This window comes from Homo sapiens, chromosome 3 (assembly GCF_000001405.40).
Source record: "Homo sapiens chromosome 3, GRCh38.p14 Primary Assembly".
Taxonomy (NCBI): Eukaryota; Metazoa; Chordata; class Mammalia; order Primates; family Hominidae; genus Homo; species Homo sapiens.
Window position 1 is genome coordinate 186045608 of NC_000003.12, and position 24465 is coordinate 186070072.

At 42.3% G+C, this 24465-nt stretch overlaps 1 protein-coding gene across 1 annotated transcript in view; it reads right to left on the minus strand.

Moving 5' to 3' along the window:
* Positions 1-706: 706 nt before the first annotated feature.
* Positions 707-24465, minus strand: part of ETV5 (ETS variant transcription factor 5) — a 62776-nt gene continuing 39017 nt past the window's right edge. The window contains exons 8-13 of the mRNA NM_004454.3: positions 20206-20465; positions 18810-18869; positions 11816-11884; positions 11468-11637; positions 6423-6524; positions 707-3253 (exon numbers count right to left, since the gene is read on the minus strand). Of these exons, the coding sequence (NP_004445.1) occupies positions 3032-3253; positions 6423-6524; positions 11468-11637; positions 11816-11884; positions 18810-18869; positions 20206-20465 (883 nt within the window). The 3' untranslated portion in view covers positions 707-3031. The remainder of the gene's footprint in view (positions 3254-6422; positions 6525-11467; positions 11638-11815; positions 11885-18809; positions 18870-20205; positions 20466-24465) is intronic.

Consider the following 24465-nt stretch of genomic DNA (forward strand, 5'->3'; position numbering starts at 1 on the left):
GAAAAAGGGTGAAATAAGAGCACTAGAAACCGTAATAACCGTAATAACACCGCAATACAACCCGGCGAACTTTATTTCCTTCCACGTATTTCCCGAGTGATACATATTCACGAGAAAGAGACAAACTTGGAGGAGGAGGTTTTTACTGCTGCACGGCCAGAAAAAAACATAGTGGGCAAAACCTTCCTGAGCTTTTTTCGTTATTTATCAACCATTAATTGATTTTTCACTTGTCAAGAGCAAAACTTATTGGGGAAAAATTAGAAAATGAATGGTCTTAAGTTCTTACTGGTTTTCAAAGTATCCACATAAGGGGCTGAGGATAATTCTGGGACTCGAAAGTCCTAGACTGCTTTGTAATCTTTTCACACAACCCAAAGCGAAACATGGGCTACACTTAAAAAAAGAGTTACTAAGAATTGGTGGCTTGGTGGGCTCAAGGGGATGAGGTGATCTCAGCTCACCATTGGCTGGGAAGAGGATCTCTCGACTTTCCACCTCTTTGGATTAAATTTTTAGCTGGAGTTTAAGAGGAGCTGTGCACATCTATTTCCAGGTAACAGAGTTCCCTAACTACCCTCGATGCCACTGTCCATTGGTAAGGCTAAATTGTTGAGAGGGCTAGGGCGGGGGCGGAGAGAAAGCCAGGGGGCTTTTGCCTGCTTTAAAATTAGACCAATGAGGGCAAGAAAGAGGCAGGTTCGGGTGCTTGGTAAACGAAAAGCAAACTTCTTTATTGTACACAGTACAGAATATAACGCAGCTTGGCAGGATGCATACGGCCCTGCGCAGGGGAAAGTATTTCAAATCAGCTGGCAGGTTCAAGCCTTTCTGCACTGTAGACTTTCCACACTCTGGAAAAGAAGCAAACAAACAAACCCCAAAGAACCCCCGAAAAAAACAAAAACCATCCGGGAGGTGCATGAGTCCAATGGGAATGCAACCGTGATGCCGCTGTCCTATGCCCAGTGACAGCACAGGTCACGTAAGTTACAGCAGGGGAGGGGTAGCTCAAGCTACAGAGGATTATTGTCATATTGCTAAGACAGCATAAATCCATTCAAAAGAAAAAAAAAAAAAATCCAAACCAGGGTAAGTAAAGAAAGGAAAACCAAATCTATACAGCATTTACAACAAATAAATCTCTAGCCAGCTGGGGGTAAAATATGCATCTATGTATAGACTATGTGTAGGTTAAGAAAGCTATAAATATGGTTTAGAAAGAGTCCTTTGATTAGAGTACAATGCTAATTAAGGCCCAATCTACAGGTTTACCACCTTTGTGGGCTAATTAGCTTCCAATAGAGGAGAATCTCATGTTTCCATAGCTATAAAGTGCACCCCTTATCCCTGCGAACCTCTTCACAAATGTGCTGTTGGTCATAAGGGGGACAGTTTGAGACTATGGAGTGCTCCATGAATAGAAAAGCAGTTCAAAGCACGTGTCTCACACTCACGGAGTCAGCACTGCCTCCTTCACATACGAGGAACAGTGTAGTCATTCTTAATGTACTAAGTGTCACGGGGAGCACAGAATTCTACCAGCAGAGCAGGCAGCAAGGTACCACCAGTAACTTTTCCTCTACTTTGAGCTCAACTTTCACATAGCTTTAGCTTGGTTGTTTAAAACTTTTCCAATATAATACAGCAATGAGAATAATTTCTTTTTAAAAAAAGGCAGGAATCTAGAATGCTAGCACTGTTGCTTACCTGTCAGTATCACACGTAAGTCTCAAACCCTACTGAATCACACAGGTAGGGTTTAAAGTCCAAGATTTAAAGAAAAAGGAAAACAAAACAAACTGATGAAATGGAAATTGTCATCAGTCATGCCCAGGGAAGAATCCCAAGGGTTTTCACCAGGTGACCAGGTTTCCAAAGGACATGACACATGTTATATACATATGCTTTCCAGAGAGGGCATGTTAGTGAACACGGGGAACTATACATAGAGAATCTAAGCTTGTGTCCAGGCTGCCCTGCACACTTCAAAAATGTACAACTCAGGTGCAAATGTTCCATCAGGTTGTCTGGTGCAGAAAGCACAAAGCAGGCAACAAGGCGGGCTTTCACATGGCCAAGGGGAAGCCTCAGCAAAGCCCCTCTCAAGCTGCAGTGTCTTCATAAGTTGGCACGGCCCTGGCTAAAGGACACAGTGCACAGTTACCAAAAGGTTTGTTTTTGTTTTTTGTTTTTCGTTTTTTTGCTTTAAATACCAAAACTACAAAAATCAGTTTATAAACTGTTTTTCCAAAACAACCACCAAAACAAAACAATCCCCCAAATCAGGGCAAAACAAAATACTGTCAAAAGTGTTAATCGCCCTTCTCCTAAAATAAAAGTCATCCACACTCAGCCACGTGATTGGGAAGAGAAAGGGGGCTTGCTCTACTTGGCGACCACATGGCCGGGTGGTTCCCAAGAGTAGCCATGGTTTATGATTTTGAGAACCACGGAGTGGGGAACAGCTGTTCTGACTGCCCCCCTTTTTCTAGACAAGGGGTAATATTTCAGATTCAGCTAGAAGAGCTTTCCAATGTTTAAGATGTATTTTTAACCCTTAATGGTTTGAGCCTCCCCAACTTAGCCTACTTACTTTTCTATGGGTTTGTGATTTTTCAACAAATTGTGCAAATCAGAGCCCTTCTATGTAAAGGCATTTAGTAGTCCATGATCGATGCAGATTGTCACATACTATGTCCCGTTTTGCGGGTACTAACCTGAACAAGATATTGCTTTGCATGTATTGTCCATGGTAAGGAGACTCCATTTTGATCTCTTCCCAGAAACCTCATCAGAATCAAGAGTTGAGGCACTGGCCTTTTGGTGGTTTTCTGCCCCTCCCTGTTCCCACTCCCCAGCCAATGTATCTGTCTTTAAGGGTGCCAATCCAGAGACAGCTTGGGTTCTCCAGATAATACTCAAAGGGCAAGCTTTAGGAACAACCAAAAACACAAACAAAACCACTGCCCTTGTTTGCCTGAATGGGAACTGCTAGCTCTAGGGTTTGGCCACTCCGCCACTCAGAAACTTAGTAAGCAAAGCCTTCGGCATAGGGGAGGCTGCTGCAGCGGTCCATGTCCAGGAGGTAAGCGGGGCTGTCTTCAAAGTGGGTCAGCGGCAGGGTGTCCTCCTCGCTGAGGTGGCACTCGGACTCTGCCTTCAGGAACGGACGCTGGTTATCCGGGAAAGCCATGGAGAAGAGGGCATCTGGGTCACAGACAAATTTGTAGACGTATCGCTCTCCAGCCACCTGCGGGAGAACACACACCTTACAGGGCCCAGTTGGAACAGGGCATGGGATCAGGGGAAGAGAACGAGGTATTCCTAAGTCACAAAGCCAGGGACCAAAGGAGCAGCCGATTACCCCAATCACTCAGACTTATTTTGAGAACTCCTGGGAACCTATTATCTGCCAAGTGTTTTACTGACACTACAGCAGTTAAAAAAGAAGATATCTGAATTTCGAATTCACACTAGATGGACTCTTAAAAGAAAATCTTCACTTTCTGTCTTCCAGTGACAGCTTTGAAAGCATGGTTATGCTGAGCCTGGAGTCTGGTGTTCCAAAAAGGTTTAAGGACTGACAGGTGCAAGGCAGAAGCCTGACCACATTTTTAGTCACTTCCAGAGTTTACAGTCTTCACAGTATGGCCTTGTTATTTAGAAAGGTTAGAAATCTGATGAGAGCGAGCCTGCGCAGAAGCCTTAAGTATGTTCCAAAGCTGAAAAGAATTGCTTTTGGCTTACCTGCAGCTTTAAATGACTCACCGCATGGCTCTGCTACACTGAGGGAACCGCTAACTACCTTTCTATGGGTTTTCTGCATTATAATATTAGAACCAGAAGGTCTTGGTTGTTCAAGGACCTCATGGTATGTGGCTGATGAGACATCTGCGTCAATGGGATCACCTTCTCTCTGCTGGTTGTTCAGCAATAGTACAAGAGGCACCTAATACCGAAAATCAAACCCAATAATCGGCTTCTGTCTGGAGACGCAGAGGGGGAAGGGAAGGCAGCCAAATTTACTGATAAGATAAACATTTTAGATTTAAAAATGCAAACTGTTGAGTTTAATCCTGCCCTTCAGTCATTCTGCTGTGATTCTAAAATCTTTTTTTAATTGAACAAGTATGGCTCTGCTTCCACATCTCTACCAATCAACCACCTCTAGTTAGTGTTGTACGCTGGTTTTACCTTAAAGCCCAACCCCAAAAATTAGTTTGTGTGGGAGAGTGAGGCAGGAGAGCACAGTGGAAATAATCCTAGATCAGAAGCTGGGAGTTGCACGGCTTCCAGTCCTGGTTTAGTCACTAATGAGTCTTAACCTCTGTGAACCTCAATTTTCCCTTCAAAAATGGAGGGCATGGGACTACAGCTTTTCTAAGTCTCTCTACACACCGACGGGCTATCATTCACCTTTTAATGAGCTCTCATGTACTCGTGAGTCATGTAACAAATAAAATAATAACCCCTTCCTTACACTGGATGGCACATTATTATTTCTGAAATATTTTCAAATATATTACCCTGTGGGATTAAAGCAAGAATTATTATCTATATTTTTATTAGAAATAGAGGCTTTGGGAGATTAGGTGACTTTCCTCAAATCATACAGCTAACAAATTGAAGTGTTAGGATCTGAGCCCACGAAGCCTCATTCCTGGGCCTTCCTGTACTCTTTGCCTACTTATTCTCAGAAATAAAGTTCTCTTCTACTCCCTTAGAAAACACAGAAGCTAGTCATAAGGACAGCTCATTTCCATTGGTTCAAGTTACTGTGTCCTGGGTTGCATCTCCCCATGCTGGATGTGGAGTTGGGAACAGCAAAGGAATAATGGCTCTCCCACCTGAACTTAGGATTTGGCCTGATGATATCAACTCTAAGGAGGATAGAGGACAATGGGGAGTGGCTGCTGATGGGTATGGCGTTTCTTTTTGGGGTGATAAAATGTTCTGAAATTAATTGTGGTAATGGTTGTACAGCTCTGTGAAACCACTGGACCGTATACTTTAAAAAAAGGAGAGGTAAGGTAGGGGACCACCTATCCTACAGCATTTAACTCTGTATCAAGCACTGAAGTTAAACCTCAATTCCTAACCCAAAGGAGCTTACACTCCAGTGGGGGGTAGTAACAAGAAAGGAGTTAAGACACAGCGAGAAGAGCAGTGGTAGGAACAAGTACTGGTGCCATCAGAAGCAGCAAAGGGGACCACCTAACCCAATCTGAAATGGAAAGGTGACAGAAAACAAGGAGGGGCTGGCCAGGTACTGAGAGCATTAGGAATGTTCTAGGTCTTAAGTAGGATGACAGTTTAATAGGTGTCTTCCATTTTATGGTATGCTTGATAATGTACATGCATGTAACATGTATTCTTTGGCAAACAAATACTACATTACATTAAAAGGTGGCTATGCTAGTGAAAGCCGTCAAGTTTGAGTGAAGAAACGAGAGTTAGGTGGTGACCAGACTGGGAACAGCCTCAGAGCCTGTATGACGCACTAGCAAGTCTAGAGTTTATCCAGAAAATCACAATGAGCTGTTGAGTATTTTTTAAGGTGGCGAGGAGAATATGGGGTCACATTACCACCCGCCTATGAGAAAGATGAATCTGGCTTCTTGTAGACAAGTTCTCAGCAGTTTTGCCCATATGCTTCTGCCACGTTCATCTTATTGGCTACTGCCAGGTAGACTGGCTCAATGTGTAAATGCTAGTATCTGGGCAACAGTACATTACGAATTTGGTAGCTAAGAAAGACTTGCCATTCCCATCTTCTACTTATCCATGGGATGTTAAGACTGTGGCCCCTTGCTACCTATCCCACGAAGAATTTTGTACTGATTTCTTCAAAATATGCTTCATCCTCTATTCCACAAAGAGCAACCTGCTACCAGGTGACTCTGCTGCCATTCTACAAACGTTGGGTTTTTAACTTGAGTTCCAGTTTCTGTAAGTCTGAAAGAAAAATCAGATGCTCTTATTCCTCTAACACTTCTGAGCATATCAAACTAACAGATTTGGAGGTCTAGGTGTTTTAATAACTAAAGACTTCAATCAAGCTGTTGAAGTAGAGACCTTCAAGTTGATTCCCTGTAGTCCTTTTTGGATACAACAGTTGGCCTAAGTTTCTGGAAATTTCTATATATAGAAGCAGTTTTGGGAAAGCAGAGAAGCCTAATTTTCTATTGTGTGTTCTGCATGCAACTTCTAGTTTCCACATAACCAACAGCATCAAATGTACTCTATATCTCATTTGATTCTTGTCTCAAGTTTGTCTTCTCAAGATTGTTTCCTACCACAGAATCACTTAGGGGGCTAAAATTTCCTCGTAGCGACGATCACCAGTCTCACTACAGAAGCCCTGGACTTTTTCCTTAAAAGAGACCAGAGTGGGCTAAGGGTCTTGTATAATGGCTCACCTTCTGCATGATGCCCTTTTCATAGTAATAGCGGAGAGAGCGGCTCAGCTTGTCATAGTTCATGGCTGGCCGGTTCTTCTGGATGCCCCAGCGCCGAGCAACCTGAAGAGACAGGAAAGTGAAGAGCAATGGAAACGCATTCCCTGGGCCCCATGTTCTCTCCCAATCCCAGCAGAGCCAGTTCTGTAACCTGACTGCTTTGGTCAATGATCTGCTACTCTGACCTGGAAGGGAAGGCATTTAACTCCCTCAAGACCAAACATTCAACAAAGGCGATGATTCAGTGACAACTACTAGGAGGTGAGACCTAGAGATGGAAGAATCCTAGCACTTTAAGATTGCAGAGGGCTTGGCTAACATCCCAGAGGATGCAGGCCCTCTACTATTTCTCCACGTATGAATTATTGACCAATACCCATAGACCATTAACGTGTTGCCATTAAGTGCTATGGTTTCTGTAGCAGTCAATAAGGAATAATTAGAATGGTCATTCCTGAAACATTAGAAACACACTAGTGAGTTGCTAATGGGCCAGCAGAGCAAAAGTTCAATTCTAATAAGATTGGAGGGGGGCTGGGAGATGTTTACTTATTGCAGCTCATGGACTAAGGGGGAATCAGATCATTTCAGCCTGCTGCCATCCAATCCCATGCTCCCAGCAGACTTGCAGAATGGACATGAAAGCATGTAGCACCATTATCCACTTAATGAAAAATTAACAGGGCTTTCCAAACAGTTCTGAAATGCATTATATCCAACCCAGTCCACCTGAGGCACACTGATAGGGCAATATAATTGGAGCTCTGGGCAAAGCAGCCTTCTAGCAGGAAAACTTCCTAGTAGAGTTTACCCAATTATCACGGCAGCCAAGCAATTTCTGTTCTCAAGTATATCAGCTTCCAAAATCCTACTTATGAGAATGACTGTCAAGGTAGTAGAATAACCCTGGAAATGTGAGTTTTACTCAGAGGTTTTCAAATGTATGCAAACCAGGGGTCAGGGGTCACGTTTGGAGCATTTTAGGTCAGTTTTGGAAACTTAAAAAAAAAAAACAAACTATATTCCTTCGATTATTTTATTTTTATTTTCTGAGATGGAGTCTCACTCTGTTGCCCAGGCTGGAGTGCAGTGGCACGATCATGGCTCACTGCAACCTCTGCCTCCCAGGCTCAAGCGATTCTCCTGCCTCAGTCTCCTGAGCAGCTGGGATTACAGGTGTCCATTGTCATGCCCAACTAATTTTTGTATTTTTAGTAGAGATAGGGTTTCACCATGTTGGCCAGGCTGGTCACAAACTCCTGACCTCAAGTGACCCACCTGCCTCAGCCTCCCGAAGTGCTGGGATTATAGGCATGAGCCACTGCACCCGGCCCCTTCGATATTTTAAAAGCCAAATGTTAAACATGGAGTAGGAATCAGAGAGAAAACAGCATTTCACATAAACCTTTTCCTTAAAATATCTAGGCAGAATGAAAGCAACATCTTCTAAATTCAGGATTCTAAAATGACCTTTCATAAAAGCCAAAAATGATCTGATAAGAATGCATCTCTCTTAATTACAATAATAGCAATGATTCTGCTCTGCCTTGCAAGAAACCCTGTGAAAGTCCAATTTCCGTTCAGTTGCTTCATGTCCCCACAGCAGACACGATGTCCTGGGTCTCCTCTTTTCTCCATATGGTACCCACTCTACTCTACCTTTGAAACAGCCCAAAAGGCAAAATTAACCAAAAATTACATCCTGGTTAGAGAAGATAAACATTTAAAACCAATAGAAATAATGGTAAGAAGAGACATCTGCTAACCTAATAATATACATCATTGTACCCTGTTCAAAGCAATGATGCCTTATAAAACTAATCTTTAATTGCTGTCTGCCACAAGTGACACAGGGAAATTTCAGAGAAGCCCAGCCTCATCATTTTACTATGTTAAGGGGTGGAAAACAATCCTTGAATATTCTTCAACTTCAGCGGCCACCTCTCAGCTGTCACTTGCATATGCAATTGCTTACTGGAGAAAGGTTTGGTATACGCACAGATTTCAAAGCAGCTCTGGTAGCCATAGTTACTGACTCATCCTCCCGGGCCAGAGCCCTGTGATTCTGTAGCCCTCACCACGGCTGTTCCTTCTACAGTAATGCATGAGGCGGCTCAGCTCCAGAGCAGCTGGGAATTAGGGCTGCCCCTCTTCTGGGACTGGGGAGGCAGGCAATAGCTTGTCATCAGATCTTTCTTCTCTCTCATTAGTTACTTTGGTAGCACGTATCTTGAGGACTGAGGCTGAAGGAGTTAACGGATCTACCTATTCCTTCTCCCCTTTAAAGAGAGAGCAGCCACAGCCCAGGGAGTGGCTCTTTCTAGCAGCCCATCCCTTCAAACCTCCCAGCAGCAGTTATCTGCCACATGTTCAACAAACAACCCTACCCCCCAAAATATTCATTAATGCAGATTCACAGTTAAAATGGCTCCAGATTAAAGCCGAGTCAGTCATAATTGAGAGGGTGCTAAGCTGGATGACTATCAAAAGACATTTGATTAGGGGGCCTGCCAAAACGCAGTTCTAAAACCACAATTTCCATGCACAGTGTAATGGATATTATGGATAATTACCCAGAGTGCACTACTCAGCCACACAGCTGCCTACAATTACGTCCCAACAGCTTCCTCCTCCGCTTCACCCTTCAAGCTCCCCCATGACGACTTCTTACAGCTTTTTCCAGAAGCTGGTATCTTCCTGACATTAACAAGAACAGGGCCCTCACAGGTATACAAGGAGGGGTGGGGGGAGCTCAGCAAATGTCACCTGTCCTGAGGCTAACGTGCACATGTGGCACCCAACTGATCCTGGGTGAAGAGAAAGGAACATTTGGAGCTTAGGGAAAGCTTGGGGACTTCAAGGTGGGGTGGAAAGCACCATTTCCTGAAGAAACAAAGCTGCCCGGTCAACCGAGGGAGGCTCAAGGACACCACAGGCTTCTCATATGACTTGGCTGCCTGGCATTTACGAGCATTCTGTATTAATATTAGTTTCTTTATTAAGTAAGAAAGCAGGGGCCCTTTGCCATCTGTTCATCATTCTCTATGCCACTGGTAGGAGTGCAGAAGATTCAATAACAGCTTTACGAAGGATCATAACCAGGTTTACCTGCAGCTGGACGGCCTGTGCTTAGGCCCGAGGCAGTGGCAATAAAATAATAAAAGCTCCTGTTTGTGAAACAAGATAAATCAATAAGGGCTGCCCACATGACAGAACTACTTTCAGAAAGCCTCAGTGAACCTAGGTGACATGCTTTTCTCAAACTTCACATAAACCAGGCCACGTTATTCAGAAAGCAGTGAGGAGAGGCATGGGTCGGCGTGGGGTGGATGGCTCTGCAGGGATGCTAGAAGCCTAAAACATGGCTCTATTTCTACATGGCCAGAAAAAAACACGTAGGCACTAAACTAACACAGTGGCACTCAACTCCAGCTCTGAAGGTAGACTGAACCGAATAGAAGCTGTTTAATTAGTCCATCTAGAGATGCTGACACATTTCCATTCTCGTGAGTGAATATAAAACAGGGAACACATAGGCACATCTTGTTTTCTAATTGCCTTGAATGAAGTCTGCCTTCTTCTCCTATCAATCAGGATTCTTCATAAATTTCTAATCCACACATTCTCCTCCTTTTCCCATTTGAATCTTTAGACCACTTTCTTGTTCCAAACCAAGTCCCCGGTTGCTACCTCCTCCTGTTAACCCCATGCCAGCGTATTTCTCTGGTGTGCTAAAGCGAGCCCTAGAGTTAACTGAACACTGAAAACAGCAATTCTCGTTCAAATGCTTTCTAAGAGTGTCTAAGAGTGTTGTTCCCAATTTAATTATACCCAACCCAAAGATGCCTTTTGATCTGCTGGTTTAATTTATATGCCTAAGAACATGCTACTAAAAGAAGCGTATGTCAGTTTTTTTGGGCAGTTATTTCTGTTCCATTTATAATCTCTCTAGATTCTAAATCAAACAGAAATTAAAAATCAACCCCTTTAGAATATGCTATACTGAGAGCCTGATTTAATTTACTTTGTTATGTGATATTCAGGAAAGGGATTCTAGGGTGTGTCTTCTCCACTGAAGAAACGGCACTGGTTCTGTCAACAGTGTATTTCTGTTCTGGGCACAAAAACAGTAACAGTGTTTTTTTCCTATTAAAATAACTGAGGTTTGTATCATCTCTCAACTACTCTATTGTGATGTCACATAACACACTTTCATTTTATTTTTTTGGACACAGGGTCTCGCTCTGTCACCCAGGCTCAATCGATCCTCCCTGCCTCAGTCTCCCAAGTATTTGGGACTATAGACACACACCACCATGCCTAGCTAATTTTTTATTATTTTTATTTTCTTTTATTTTTTGTAGAGATAAGGTTTTGCCATGTTACCCAGGCTGGTCTCAAAATCCTGGGGTCAAGCAATACACCTGCTTCAGCCTCCCAAAATGTTGGGATTACAGGTGTGAGCCACTGCACCCGGCCATAACACACCTTTGAAAAAAAAAATCTAAGCTCATTAAGATTGAGCCACCTCTGATAATTTTATTTCTCCAGGCTACAGCCATTTGAAATACACAGTGGGTAGTTGTATCCTGTAATATATTGTCAAAATGTCATACAGTATGTTCACGTAGACTCAGAGATAGACTATGGCCCACAGGGGCTAAGACCAAAACAAGTCTGTATCATTGAAACAGCACCTGAAAAAGACTTTCCAAGAGGGAGAGCATATCCTATTTGAATATAAGTCTTCATGATCTTGCCCCCTAAATTTTGCAGAAGTGTTACAAATACTTTTCATGTATTCTACACTGGAGAACTCTGCCTGTCCATGTATTAGAAACTGTCCCATTAATAGGAGGGATACAGCCAAGCCCACTGGCCAGGCCAGAATATGAATGAGAAGCAAGAGCAGACTTGACACAAAAAGCCTCAATGGAAATCTAAACAAAAAACATCATCAACAACAACAAATCAAAACCCGTCTGAGTCCAGCATCCAGTGCATACCTCTTCCGGTTCTATCAGCTTGAACTCCATGCCTCGACCTGTCCAGGCAATGAAGTGGGCATTGGCTGGGTCATCAAGAAGGGTGACCAGGAACTGCCACAGCTGAAGGGAACCTCGCCTCTGGTAAGGGGGCCCCTCTCGATACATGGTAGGCTCCTGTTTGACTTTGCCTGTTTGGGACAAGGACACATCACACAATAGCTTAGTCCTAAGTTTCTCAGGTGGTTGGGACAAAAAGGAGTTGTTCATGCTGATTTAATCACTGGACTTGGGAAGAGAGTCATGGCTGAGGTGTTCTGACACCTCCAAACCTCTACCTGGCAACAAACCTTGGATGGGGCTACTTACCTTCCAGTCTCTCAGGCACAACACAAGTGTCGTCAAAGTATAATCGGGGATCTTTTTCATATGAAAAACCTGAAAGAGAATTTAAAAGAAAGACTACGTTGCTTAACAAATTCTGTGTTGTACTAAAACTATGGATTTAAGGACTAGAGTGCAATCCTATCATTTCAGATCCTAAGTCCTACTGCTGTATCTATGGCAGACTGAATTTTCAGGGACTTCAAGAGGGCTTAGGCATTCCAATTCTGATGTAATCACCTGCGCCTCAGTCAGAGCAGCATCAATTCCTGCTTTTACAGCTAAGACTGCAGGGAAGTGCTGAGTCACCAGTACGTTCCTTTGCATTTTGCTTCTGAGGTCTGCATGGATCAATGTTGCTCTGACTAAGCCTTTACAGCTGGAAACACATCTCTATTTCAGTTGGCCTAGCTGGATGGATTTGGTTGATCTGTACACAGACCTGCCATTTTCCTTTTAGCTAAAATTAATTTCAACCTTTCCTACTAACTCATCCAAGCTACTCACATACCTCGTTCAATTACGAAAGAGCTTGAAGGGTAAAGAATGTTGCCAAAATGAATAAAGACTTGGGCCTGTAGAGGATTTCGAAAGCAGTATTGGGGGTATTATTACCAAACAGTGGAGAGGATCTGAAAAGACTTTCTAGCAATGAAACAAATTCACTGTATAGATGACAAAACAGAGGTCAAGGAGGAACTGGCCCAACAACACATGCAAACGAAATAAAAGAAGGCAAGGCAAAAAGTTAAAGGGCTCAAGAAGGAAGGATGGCCTGACAGTCTTCATCCACAAACCCCTAATATACACTCAGTGCTAACCACCATGTCGCTAGGCACCTTGTCAAGATTGGTGGTTCAAATCAAAGCCAGGTAACAGATAACTTGGATGGGGTCACATCCCTCCTTGTAGTTCAGCCTGTCTCAAGGTGTAAGGTCTCCAGTGCATACTCCTTTACCAGCACACGTCTTAGGAGAATGCCCCAGGGCTCCTGTCTGATAAGCAGTGCTTCCCTGTGCTCCGTTTTCCTGTTAGTTCACCTGGCTCATACTACAGGTCTGTGTGTGTTGGATAATGCAGTGGGGGCAGGCAGGTGAAAAGGCTCTGCAATGAAGGACTTCCATTAGATCTGAGAAGGATTCACTGCGACTTAAAAAATCCACGAGGCTGGGCACGGTGGTGAGCAATTATAATTCCATGAGCAATTATAAGGTTTAAGGGTTCTGAATGAGGATAGCCATAATAACAAGTGCTATGTGGCTTATGGAGGAGTAGGAAATAAGTGATTTTAGATTGGTTTGTTGAAGACAAATAGCCTGTAATCTCAGCGCTTTGGGAGGCCAAGATGGGTGGATCATCTGAGGTCAGGAGTTCGAGACCAGCCTGGCCAACATGGTGAAACCATCTCTACTAAAAATACAAAAAATTAGCCGGGCATAGTGGTGGGCGCCTGTAATCCCAGCTACCTGGGAGGCTGAGGCAGGAGAATTGCTTGAATCCAGGAGGCGGAGGTTACAGTGGGTGGAGATCACGCTATTGTACTCCTGCCTGTGCAACAGAGAGAGGCTCTGTCTCAAAAAAAAAAAAATAAAATAAAAATAAAAAATAAAAAAAAAGAAAGGAAAAATCCGTGAGTAAAGGTGCCAAGGTATAATTTCACCATTCTTTGTTTCTTCAGTCAACCCAGATCAAGTAGCTTCTTGGCAGGAGCAGCACCATTTTTAAGAGGCCTGGGACTGAAGAAACTCTGCACAACTGAGACTGCTTTGAGGTTTATATTATTCATTTTTGTTTTCTCAGCCCTAAGCATTAGTTCTCTGTTGCTTAACGACATCAAAGTCTATTTTATTGTCATTTATATATTATTTAATCCACTAAGTATTTATGCCAGGCGTTGTGCTAGAAGGGAGTAGGTAGCCAGGCGAATGTAGACTTGGTCCTTGTTCTCATGGAGCCTGCATCTCAACTGGGGGCGACAGACAATAAAGGAGAAAAAGAAACGAGAGGTGGCATAGTACTGATGGACTCCAGTCAGCTGTGCGATCTTGAATAAATTAATCTCTGTGCTCCAGTGTCCTCATTGCAGCAGATAAAAATTCCTACCTTATGGTGTTGTTATAAGAGTTTAATTTAGTATCATTCAACTGATCTATTTCTCTATCTTCATACCAGAGTGCCAAGAGTAGCTCCTGGTACATAAGTGTGTAATAAATGGTAGTTAAAAAAATAAACATAGTCATTGTACAACATTGTGGTAAGTGCTATTAAGAAATTAACTGAATAATGTCAGAGCTTGATCTTATATCCTCCACCAAAGATTCTAAATTCCTTGAGGATAAGGATCGTATCTTGGTATCTTAGTGTCCTCATGGCACCTTACACATAAGTACTAAATAAATATTTGAATAAATGAGAAGTTTTATAGTCTTCATTAAAAAATATTTAAGAATATAATGCTAACTTTTAAGTCAGGGATTCAATGACTCCTGATAAATTTATTTTCCAATTTGGCACTAAACTGACTTTTATGACCAACTGGTATACTCTGTATTACCAACAAGACTTTCATAATCCACTATGCTTCAAACATTTTGCCTTGCCTGCCAGGAAGCTACATATTTCCCGATCTTCCATATGTATTTTGATATTCCGGTGATGTTTTAATGGTCTTATTATAAAGTCATTACAAGCGAACTACTTCAAGTTTACGTATCTGTCAAACTTGCCATGTTATTTTCAGAGTTCTTCTCCTCTAAGGTAAGAAAAATACATTCACAGTATGTAGAAAAAAACACAACCACCTACATCTAGAAGAAATTCTCAGTTTGGTTTTCAAAGCTAATCAGATGAAGGTCTGCCTATAAGAAGTATCACTGCGGTGTATCTTGTGGTTTCTAGTCATCGCCACATGTGGTCCTCTACACCATCTGGAAGATACTATTGGTTTAAGTGAAATTTAAGTCAGTTGAATTTGAGCCAGCAGTTATATCAGTTGTGGCCACAATCATCTAATCACTCAAATGAAGGTGGCAGGAAGGAAGACCTGTTTGAGGGGCAAACTAGAAACGAAAGACTCAAAACATTATGCAAGGACTCCAGGTGAACACTTAAGGCAGGATGGCTATCTTAGCAATCACAGATGCCAATCAGAAACACTTGTTTCCTTAACTGTTTCACAGGCATCTGTGGTCAAGCCTGTATAAGGATAGGAAAAGCATGTCAGGGTAATTTAGAACAATTAAAAATGCTGGATTCTTTGAAACTAACTTCTTTGATGTGTGTGAAGTCAGGGAAAGGAATGGGAAAGGGTGGAGGGAAAACACACACAAATGCACCAGATAGTCTGTGTGTAGTAAGCAACCCAATGCCTTGCTAAAAATATTTCCCTTAAGAGCATGCTCTTTCCTAAATGTTGTAATTATGCAAAATGTTTTCCTCCCTCTCTTCCCCCACTCCCTCCTAGTTTGCCTGCTGCAGACATCAACTGCTTCTGTAGAAACATTCAGGAACCTCAAAGAGCCCCATGCAGCTGTGCCCATCACAGCCAGTGTCCGGGAGACAGCCCTGCCTTTCCAGGGCTGGACACTTACTCAGAACATCACAGGGTACCCAGTGAAACAACACTCGGTCTCCCATCTAACCAAGTGAGTGCGAAGCAGCTACCCATAAACACGGCTCTTATGAACTAATCACTTATAAAAGCCACCCAATGCTTCATGAGTATCAGCTCTTTTGACTTTCATTTAAAATGACAGAGACCAGTGGTTCTCAACCTTGGATGCACACTGGAATCACCTGGGGAGCTTTAGAAACTACTAAAGCCTGGGTCCCACCCCAGAATTTCTGATTTAATTGCTCTGGAGGAAACCTGGAAATCTACATTTTTAGAAGCTCCTCAGGTAATTCCAATGTTTGACCAAACTTGAGAACCGTTACTACTCAGTAGATTTCAAACTTGAAGGTGCATCAGAATCTCCTGCAGGACTTGTTAAAACACAGACTGCTGGGCCCCACCGCTGGGGGTTCTGATTCAGTAGGCCTGGGATGGGTCCTGAGAATGTGCATTTCTAAAAAGTCCCAGGTGAAGCTGTTGCCACAGATTTTGGGAATCACACTGCTTTAAATCTTCAGGGAGAAATACACTTGAGAAAAAGAAGACATACATCTGGGGAAGGTGTTCTAAAAAAACTTCCCTATTTCAATGTTTAGAAGGGAACTCCTCAATCCACCATACCAAGTTAGCCTTTGCCCAGAAGGGTAACTTTAAGCTCTGAGCCCACCTCTCCAGGCCTTTCATATCCCTCAAGCATGATCTCAGTCCCTACCAGGGCTCCTTTCCATCAAATGAGCCCACTGATTTGCTACTGTCATTCATTTATGCAGGAGCTTAAAAGCCCGATTATCCTCCCCCAACAAAAGGATCCCTTCTTCCTTTTGATTCACATCTAATTACTTCTTTAGATAAATCGTAAAATTTAAAAATCTGTGACAATGTACTAAAAACAACAACAAAACAGACCCTCACAAAAACCGGCAGCAGATGCCTTAAAAAATGTCATACCCTCCTTTACCCAGAAATTTCAGAAACTTAGCTTCAAGAATCAAGAGAACAAGAAAACACTTAGCTAGATGAATGTTCATGGAATTTGAGAATAACCTGGAAGTACCCACTTTTCAGCAATAGGTGATTAGCTAAAAGCATCCCCATGCAATGAGTACTGTGCAGCCATTAATGAGGAAATCATAGTGTAATGTTGGGTGCTATAGAGATGACATTGGCTGTGAAATATGGAAGGAGATGAAGAGTATGGGCTCTGGAGCCACAGGGCTTGGCTTAGAGTTCTGGCTCTACTCTTACAGCCACGTGCCCTTGGGCACATCTTTTCTCCTTTCTGAGTCTCGGTTTCATTACCCTATGGGGCAAATAGAAACATCTATCCCTTGGGAGGCCGAGGCGGGCAGATCACGAGGTCAAGAGACTGAGACCAACCTGGCCAACATGGTGAAACCCCGTCTCTACTAAAAATACAAAAAATTAGCTGGGCGTGGTGGCGCGCGCCTGTAATTCCATCTACTTGGGAGGCTGAGGCAGGAGAATCACTTGAACCCGGGAGGCAGACGTTGCAATGAGCTGAGATCCGCCACTGCACTCCAGCCTGGCGACAGAGCAAGACTCCGTCTCAAAAAGACAAAACAAAACCAAACCCAGAAATATCTATCCTATAGGGCTGCTATGAGAATTAAACAACTGAATTTATGCATCTAAAGAACACATAACAGTGTCTGAAACATAGTAAATGTTCAATTTGAGTTAATGACTATTGTTTAAAAAAAGACTATAAAACAATGAGTCCTATACGATCTGTATAATCCTATATTTACATATGCACAGCAAAGATTGAAAGACTATGTAGCAAGTTAATGGTTATCTCTGGGCAGTGAGATTTAATTTTCATCTTTTTGTCTGTTTGTATTTTCTGAATTTTATGTAATCAGTATTTATTGCTTGTGCTAAAAATAAGCTACAAAAGTTTATATTTGAAAGAAAACTAGGCTGGGCGCGGTAGTTCACGCCTGTAATCCCAGCACTTTGGGAGGCCGAGGCAGGTGGATCACGAGGTCAGGAGATTGAGACCATCCTGGCTAACACAGTGAAACCCGTCTCTACTAAAAATACAAAAAATTAGCCGGGCGTGGTGGCGGGCGCCTGTAGTCCCAGCTACTTGGGAGGCTGAGGCAGGAGAATGGCGTGAACCTGGGAGGCAGAGCTTGCAGTGAGCGGAGATCATGCCACTGCACTCCAGCCTGGGCAACAGAGCGAGACTCCGTCTCAACAACAACAACAACAAAAAAAGATGAAAAAAAGCAAGCTCCTCCAAGAAACTGACATTCTAGCTCCATTCTGACCACTTCCTTGAAGCCATATGCTATGGAACACTTATGCATCTTATTTGTTCCCAATTACTTTCACCCTAATTAGTAGGTCAGCACTAATGAAGGCAAAGTCACAGGCTCAACCTTGCCTACTGCTCCTGCTCCTAATTAGAGTGAGATGATCTCAGAGACTTACTGAATTAAGTTGGTCCCAAAGGGATAGGGCACAAGAACTTGAGCAGACAGCATACACCCTTGATATAAAACGATCATCTTCACATAAAAATAAATGTTAGGATATGTGATAATCCAGGCTTGTGGGTAAACTGCTTTATATCTGTTCTCATGTTTCTCCTTTGAGGTATTTTTTAAAAATCCAATGAGAAAACATTTGTGTCCTTCAATAATGCATTTTGTACATAACATACCTCTCCACTCCCATCCCCAGTACTCCCTACCCCCTGCTAGCTCACTTCCCCACCAGCCCCCTCAAGGTTGGTGAAGAATACCTTCAATTTCCCTCCCATGTTAAAAATGGCAACCATTTATCATATAATAATAATTACAATGAAGAGTTACCCACCCAAGCACTCAAACTAAGTAAAAAACCTAGAGACACATTTTTAAAACTCTAAGACATCCTTGGACCCTCACTGACATAACTGTAAAACATATAAAAACCACCCTCACTGACATAACTCCTAAATTCCAGTTTCAGCTGATAGTGTTATATAAACATAACCTCCATTTCTGGAAATGTGGAAATAAGGTGGGTTTGTTTTTTCTCCAAATTGTCCTATACTGTTAAAAAGTTGGGGTCATTGCTAATGAAAATGGCAGCCCTCACAGGGCTTAGGGGCATGCTTGAAACCCTGCGTGCAAAATAATTGAAGATTACAATCAATCAGCTCTCATATTCATGAGCTAAGCAAGGTTTAAACTATGATCTCAAATCTTAGCCTGGAAACTGAGCAATTTTAAGCTTGGGTATTAGTCAAGCAAAGAAAGAGGAAGGAAGGAAGGTAGGAGAAAGAAAAGCCGAGAGAAAGAAAGGAAGAAAGGAGAGGAGAGAGGAGAGAAGAGGAAAGAAAAGCAGGTTCCTTACCTTCATGGCTGCTGGAGAAATAACCCCCTCTCATGTAGGATGACTGGCAGTTAGGCACTTCTGAAAGGAAAGCAAAGGTGGACACAATCCTGTCAATAGTTTCTGCAGCAGAAACAGCACATCGGTCAACTGCAGCTCTGTGGTAAAGCCCCTAAACTTCCTGCTCTGGGGTCATGTCTTTCTGGCTTTGTCCTGGGAAAGAGGTGCCACACCAATAAGCAAGATGGCAAACACCATAACCCACCAGCTGAAAGGCAGGCTCTCCTAATCAAGAGTCACGGGAGGAAAAAAAAGATGTTTCACTCTCATTGTTCACTTATTTTAGAAATGTGTTAACACTAAATCTGGTGAAAGAGCCAATGGCAGGGGAAAAAATACTGGCTTTCAAAAGGCCAAGCCTGGCCTCTTGCCCATGCTGACTCCTGGGTGTTAGGGTGGGAACGGGAAGAGGACTGCTTTAGATCTTTTCTAATTTGCTCCCCTTTACTGCTGGTGGTCACATCTAATTTTGCTCCAACAGGTGGGAGTATTTTTAGGCCAAAGGGATTAGGGGACCTGAAGTTAGGAAGCCAGGACCAGCATTGGAAGGGGTAGAGGATTGCAGTTTGGTCCATTTTTGCCATGCTGGGGCTGTCATACTGAAACCAAACCACACTCAAGTGATCTCTTCTTCAGCCATCATGTTATCAGTGTCCATCGAGACGAAAGACAGTAATTTGAGTTGTGTCCATGTGGGATGAGCCATCACCCTGGCAATACAACTCAGATCAAAGAATTACAGATATGGTAACCTCTGTTGAGTGTCTTGCTTTAAGGGAGTGGAGTGGGGTGCAAAACCCATCAGGACAGATCAAAATGTCAGTCTTAAAGGAAAAAATGTTGCTGTTCATGCTACTCCTGAGAAAAATACATCAAAGCTTTCCAGAGGAATGCTGATGGAAATGTTTACACACGATCACTACCTCACACTTGGTAATTTTTCTGTCATAAAGCAACAGGTCTCTCCCTTCTGCCTATTTCCTCAGCATTTCCCATAACCAACTGGTGCCTGAATAGATCAATCTATGTATTATCTCAGAGAAGGTCGAGCAAATTCCATCCAAAACTGAACCCCAACACTCTCCAGGCTTGGACTCAGAGATGTACTTCATACCACTTCTGAATGCCTACCGCACTTCCTACCACTTACATAGCTTTTCTGTTTTGTTTTGTATTCCATTGCGCATAAACATGTCAGCTCTACTAGCTCCTAAGTTATTTGAGGGCAATTCTTATAAAAATTATAAAAAATTCTTATAAAAATTCCTGTCCCCAAGGCCCTGCATGTATAAGACACTGAATAACGAGACAGAAGAATGCAAGAATGAAGCAAAGAATAGCACAATTTGATGCTGACCTGAATCGACGCAGTAATCCCGAGGCTCCTGCTTGATTCCCATTGGTGACTGGAACCCGTGTGCTGGGGGCCCTGGCATGCCCGGGACCCCATGTTCATAGAGTGGGTCATGGTATTCTTGTTTGAATCCCTGAGGGGGCGGGGGAGCTGCAGGGACAATAGGTTCTGACATTTGCCGATGGTAACTGGGGCGATTATCTCCAGGAACTCCTGGCTGAGGAGGGAAGGGGTGGCAGGGTTCAGACAGTTGTCTCTGAAATCTGTAAGAAGAAAGAGGTTTTCATGTTGAACAAAGACTTGATGAATTCCTACTATGATTGAGCACTGGGGACTAGAAGTTCCAATTAATGAAATTATTTGCAAAGTACTTAATAATGCTTATTTCTGGGCATTTTACCCTCTTCCCAAAATTACATTGTGTATTTCGAAGCTCTTGAGTCAGGAAGTGGCAAAAAAAAAAAAAAAAAATCAAAGCAATGATGTGGTAGCCTCTTATCTTCCATGTATGTATATTTTATGCACAGTCTATCTGTATAGATGGGCCAGATTATGTATCTGAATATATGAGACCAATTATCTGCAAATAGCACTAACATATACATAAATGTTTGTTCACTAGTTCATCCATTCTCTCACCTATAGATAGAAGGAATTTTTAAAGACTGAATACAAATTAACCAGTTAGAAAATGTAGTTAAAAAGAAAAAAGAGAGAGAATCCCATTCATAGTAGCAATAAAAAACATAACATTCCTAGGAATAATCAGGAAACCTATAGGCCATATAAGAATAAAATCTCAAAATTGTTTTCAGAGGAAAAGAAAGAAAAAAGATTTAAGAGAATATATTTAGGACTTTGAAGCTATTGATTCACTGAAAATTAATCTATAAAAGCAAATGCCTTCCCAACTAACTTGACAAAATGATTCTAAACTTTATTTTGAAAAGGCATAAGGACCCACTAGCTACTGACATATGTCATAAAACTTCAATAATTAAAACAATAATACAACAAATTGAGAGATTGGCAGGTCAAAGGAATTTAATGGCAAGCCAAAAACTGTCAAGTATATTCCAAAATTTACTACTTGTTAAGGTTAGCATTTCAAATTAGTTGGGGAAAAAAGTTAGACCCCATTTTATACAGATACCAAAATAAATTTCATATGGATTAAAGGTTCCAATATAAAAAGTGAAACCAGGCCAGGCATTGTGGCTCATGCCAGTAATCCCAGCACTTTGGGAGGCTGAGGCGGGCAGATCGCTTGAGGTCAGGAGTTCAAGACCAACCTGGCCAACGTGCCAAAACCCCATCTCTACTAAAAATACAAAAAAATTGGCCCAGCACGGTGGTGGCTCATGCCTGTAATCCCAGCACTTTGGGAGGCCAATGCGGGGGGATCACGAGGTCAAGAGATTGAGACCATCCTGGCCAACATGGTGAAACCCGTCTCTACTAAAAATACAAAAATTAGCTGGATGTGGTTGTGCGCGCCTGTAGTCCCAGCTACTCTGGAGGCTGAGGCAGAAGAATCGCTTGAACCTGGGAGGCGGAGTTTGCTGTAAGCTGAGATAGCGCCACTGCACACCAGCCTTGTGACAGAGCGAGACTCCGTCTCAAAATAAACAACAACAAAAAAACCTAAAAAAATTAGCCAGGCGTGGTTTTGTGCACCTGTAATCCCAGCTACTCAGGAGGCTGCGGCATCAGAATCACTTGAACCCAGGAGGTGAAGGTTGCAGTGAGCCGAGATTGCGCCACTGTACTCTAGCCTGGGCAACAGAGCAAGACTGTCTCAAAAAAAAAAAAAAGTGAAACCATCATATGAAAGTAAATATATATGAAAACTTACAAAACTTGGGAGTGAGGGAAAACCTAAGTATCATACCAACAGCAGAAATCATCAAGATAAACCTGGATATACCTCACTGTATAAATTTCTATAACTTAAAAAGACATCGGAAACAAAACCAAAAGAAACACATCAAACCAGGGGGAAAGAATCTGCAGTAGTCAGAAAACACCAGAAACAAAACCAAAAGTAAAACTGAGGAAAAATCTCCACAGATACAGGAATCTCACTGTTGGCAAAAAGAGCTTTTAGAAATTAACAAAAGATGAATATCTCAAGAGGAAAAAAATGGGCAAAGGACATAAACAGGAATATCCTTACAGAATAGGAATGGTCATAAACAAAAAGTTTAACTCATTAGTAATTAAAAAAGTAACAAAGTCAGAAGAGAAGTGTTTTTCCTTTTAGCTTGGAAGATGAGCAGGCAGTTACTAATTCTGTGCCAGGTACCTGAACAGCAATTCAGTCACAGATGATCAGGTATAACTACAAAGATGGTCACCAATGCAGCTGTCTAACAAGGAAACTGGCTATATATATTATGATACAGTCATTTGGTTGAAAGCAACCATTAGAAATTACATAATATGTAAATATATAAGGTCTTGGAAAGGTATTTTTGACATATTAAGGAAGGTTGCTAAACAGTACGTAGAGTATCAAAGCTTAGCAAAAATAAAAGTAGTAGTATGGTGTCATATAAAACCACAGAAAGACTGACATTTAGATATTAACACTGCCTATCTGTGGGGTGGTTATAATTTTAGGTGATTTTCTTTTTTTGCTCATCTATAGTTTGATAATAAATATGCACTGTTTTTTAACAAGATAGAATAAAAACCTGTTGCTACTAGTCGAGTTTCCTTAACACTCTTCAGCTGTCAGATAAATCCAGATGTGTGCCAGCTGCCCTTTCCCTGTTGGGTGTGCAGTGTAGAAGGGAAAGCCTGCCGTGCCTTAGTAGGGAAGTGACCAAAGGCAAAGTTTCTTGGCTTTGTTTGCTTATCTGTGACATGGGGATGTATTATCCTCCAAATGCTCCTGAAATGGTGAAATACAATCATGTCTGTAAAGTATGGTTTCTGCCACAGCCATAATTGACAGACTATAGAGTTTAGGAAGGTGGTTGTGGAAGGCTGGAGATGTGTGAACTCTCAGTCCATGAAACAGACAGGAAGCACTAATCTATGTGTATAAAGAAAAGCATTTGTGAATATATACCCTCAGTTAGAAAGTAGGAGCCAAGCTTCAAGGAAAAATAATACAATCCTGTAATATTAAGGTCTTATTCTCTACTTTTAGCTTGAATTCTATTAATTCAAAGAATTCTTGAATAGCTTTAATAAAATAGTTTGAATTTGATTTGAATCAATGTGTGGGAACAGGTGGTCAGCAGATTTCTAGAACATCAAGATTTACAATCTTAAACTGAAGAGATCTGTGTACAGATAGAACACTGTTTACATCAGGGTATAGCACAGCACAATATACTGCCTTTACTACTCTACCTAAAGCAGCACGGTAAGATCATTTTATAATATGAAAACTACTGGGCAATTTACATGTACTTATCCTTTTATCCCAGACATCAAAAGCCTCAGAATCCACCTGGCCAATGTCTTAAACAAGTTTTACCAACTACTGAAGGTTCAGTGGGCTGATAGCCTTTCATGGGGCGCTGAATGCCTTACGGCACAACTTCTTCAAGAAACCTTTCAATGGTCTTTGAAGAAGTGTAAATTCCCGTCTCAGGTTTACACTTGACGTTTAGAACATGGGCACCGGCAGCATGCCGCAAACCTAAAGGGAATTCTTTCAGAAAAGAGAGACGAAGTTGTTTTTTTTTTTTTTTTTTTAAAAAAAGTCTAAAAAAAGACTTAAAAAAAAGTCTTGCTCTGTCACCCAGGCTGGAGTGCAGTGACTCGAGTGACTCGATCTCAGCTCACCGCAACCTCCGCCTCCCGGGATCAAGTGGTTCTCCTGCCGCAGCCTCCCAAGTAGCTGCGATTTTTAGTAGAAACGGGGTTTCACCATGTTGGCCAGGCTGGTCTTGAACTCCAGGACTCAGTGATCTGCCTGTTTCAGCCTCTCAAAAGTTTGCTGGGATTACAGGCAAAAGCCACGGTACCCAGCTGATGAAGGTATTCTTTTTATTTTTTGTTGAGACGGCGTCTCGCTCTTGTCCAGATTGGAGTGCAGTGGCACAATCTCGGCTCACTGCAACCTCCATCTCTTGGGTTCAAGCAATTCTCCTGTTTCAGCCTCTCAAGTAGCTAGGATTACAGGTGCCTGCCATCATGCCTGGCTAATTTTTTTTTTGTATTTTTAGTAGAGATAGGGTTTCACCACATTGGCCAGGCTGGTTTCGAACTCCTGACCTCAAGTGATCTGCTCGCCTCGGCCTCCCA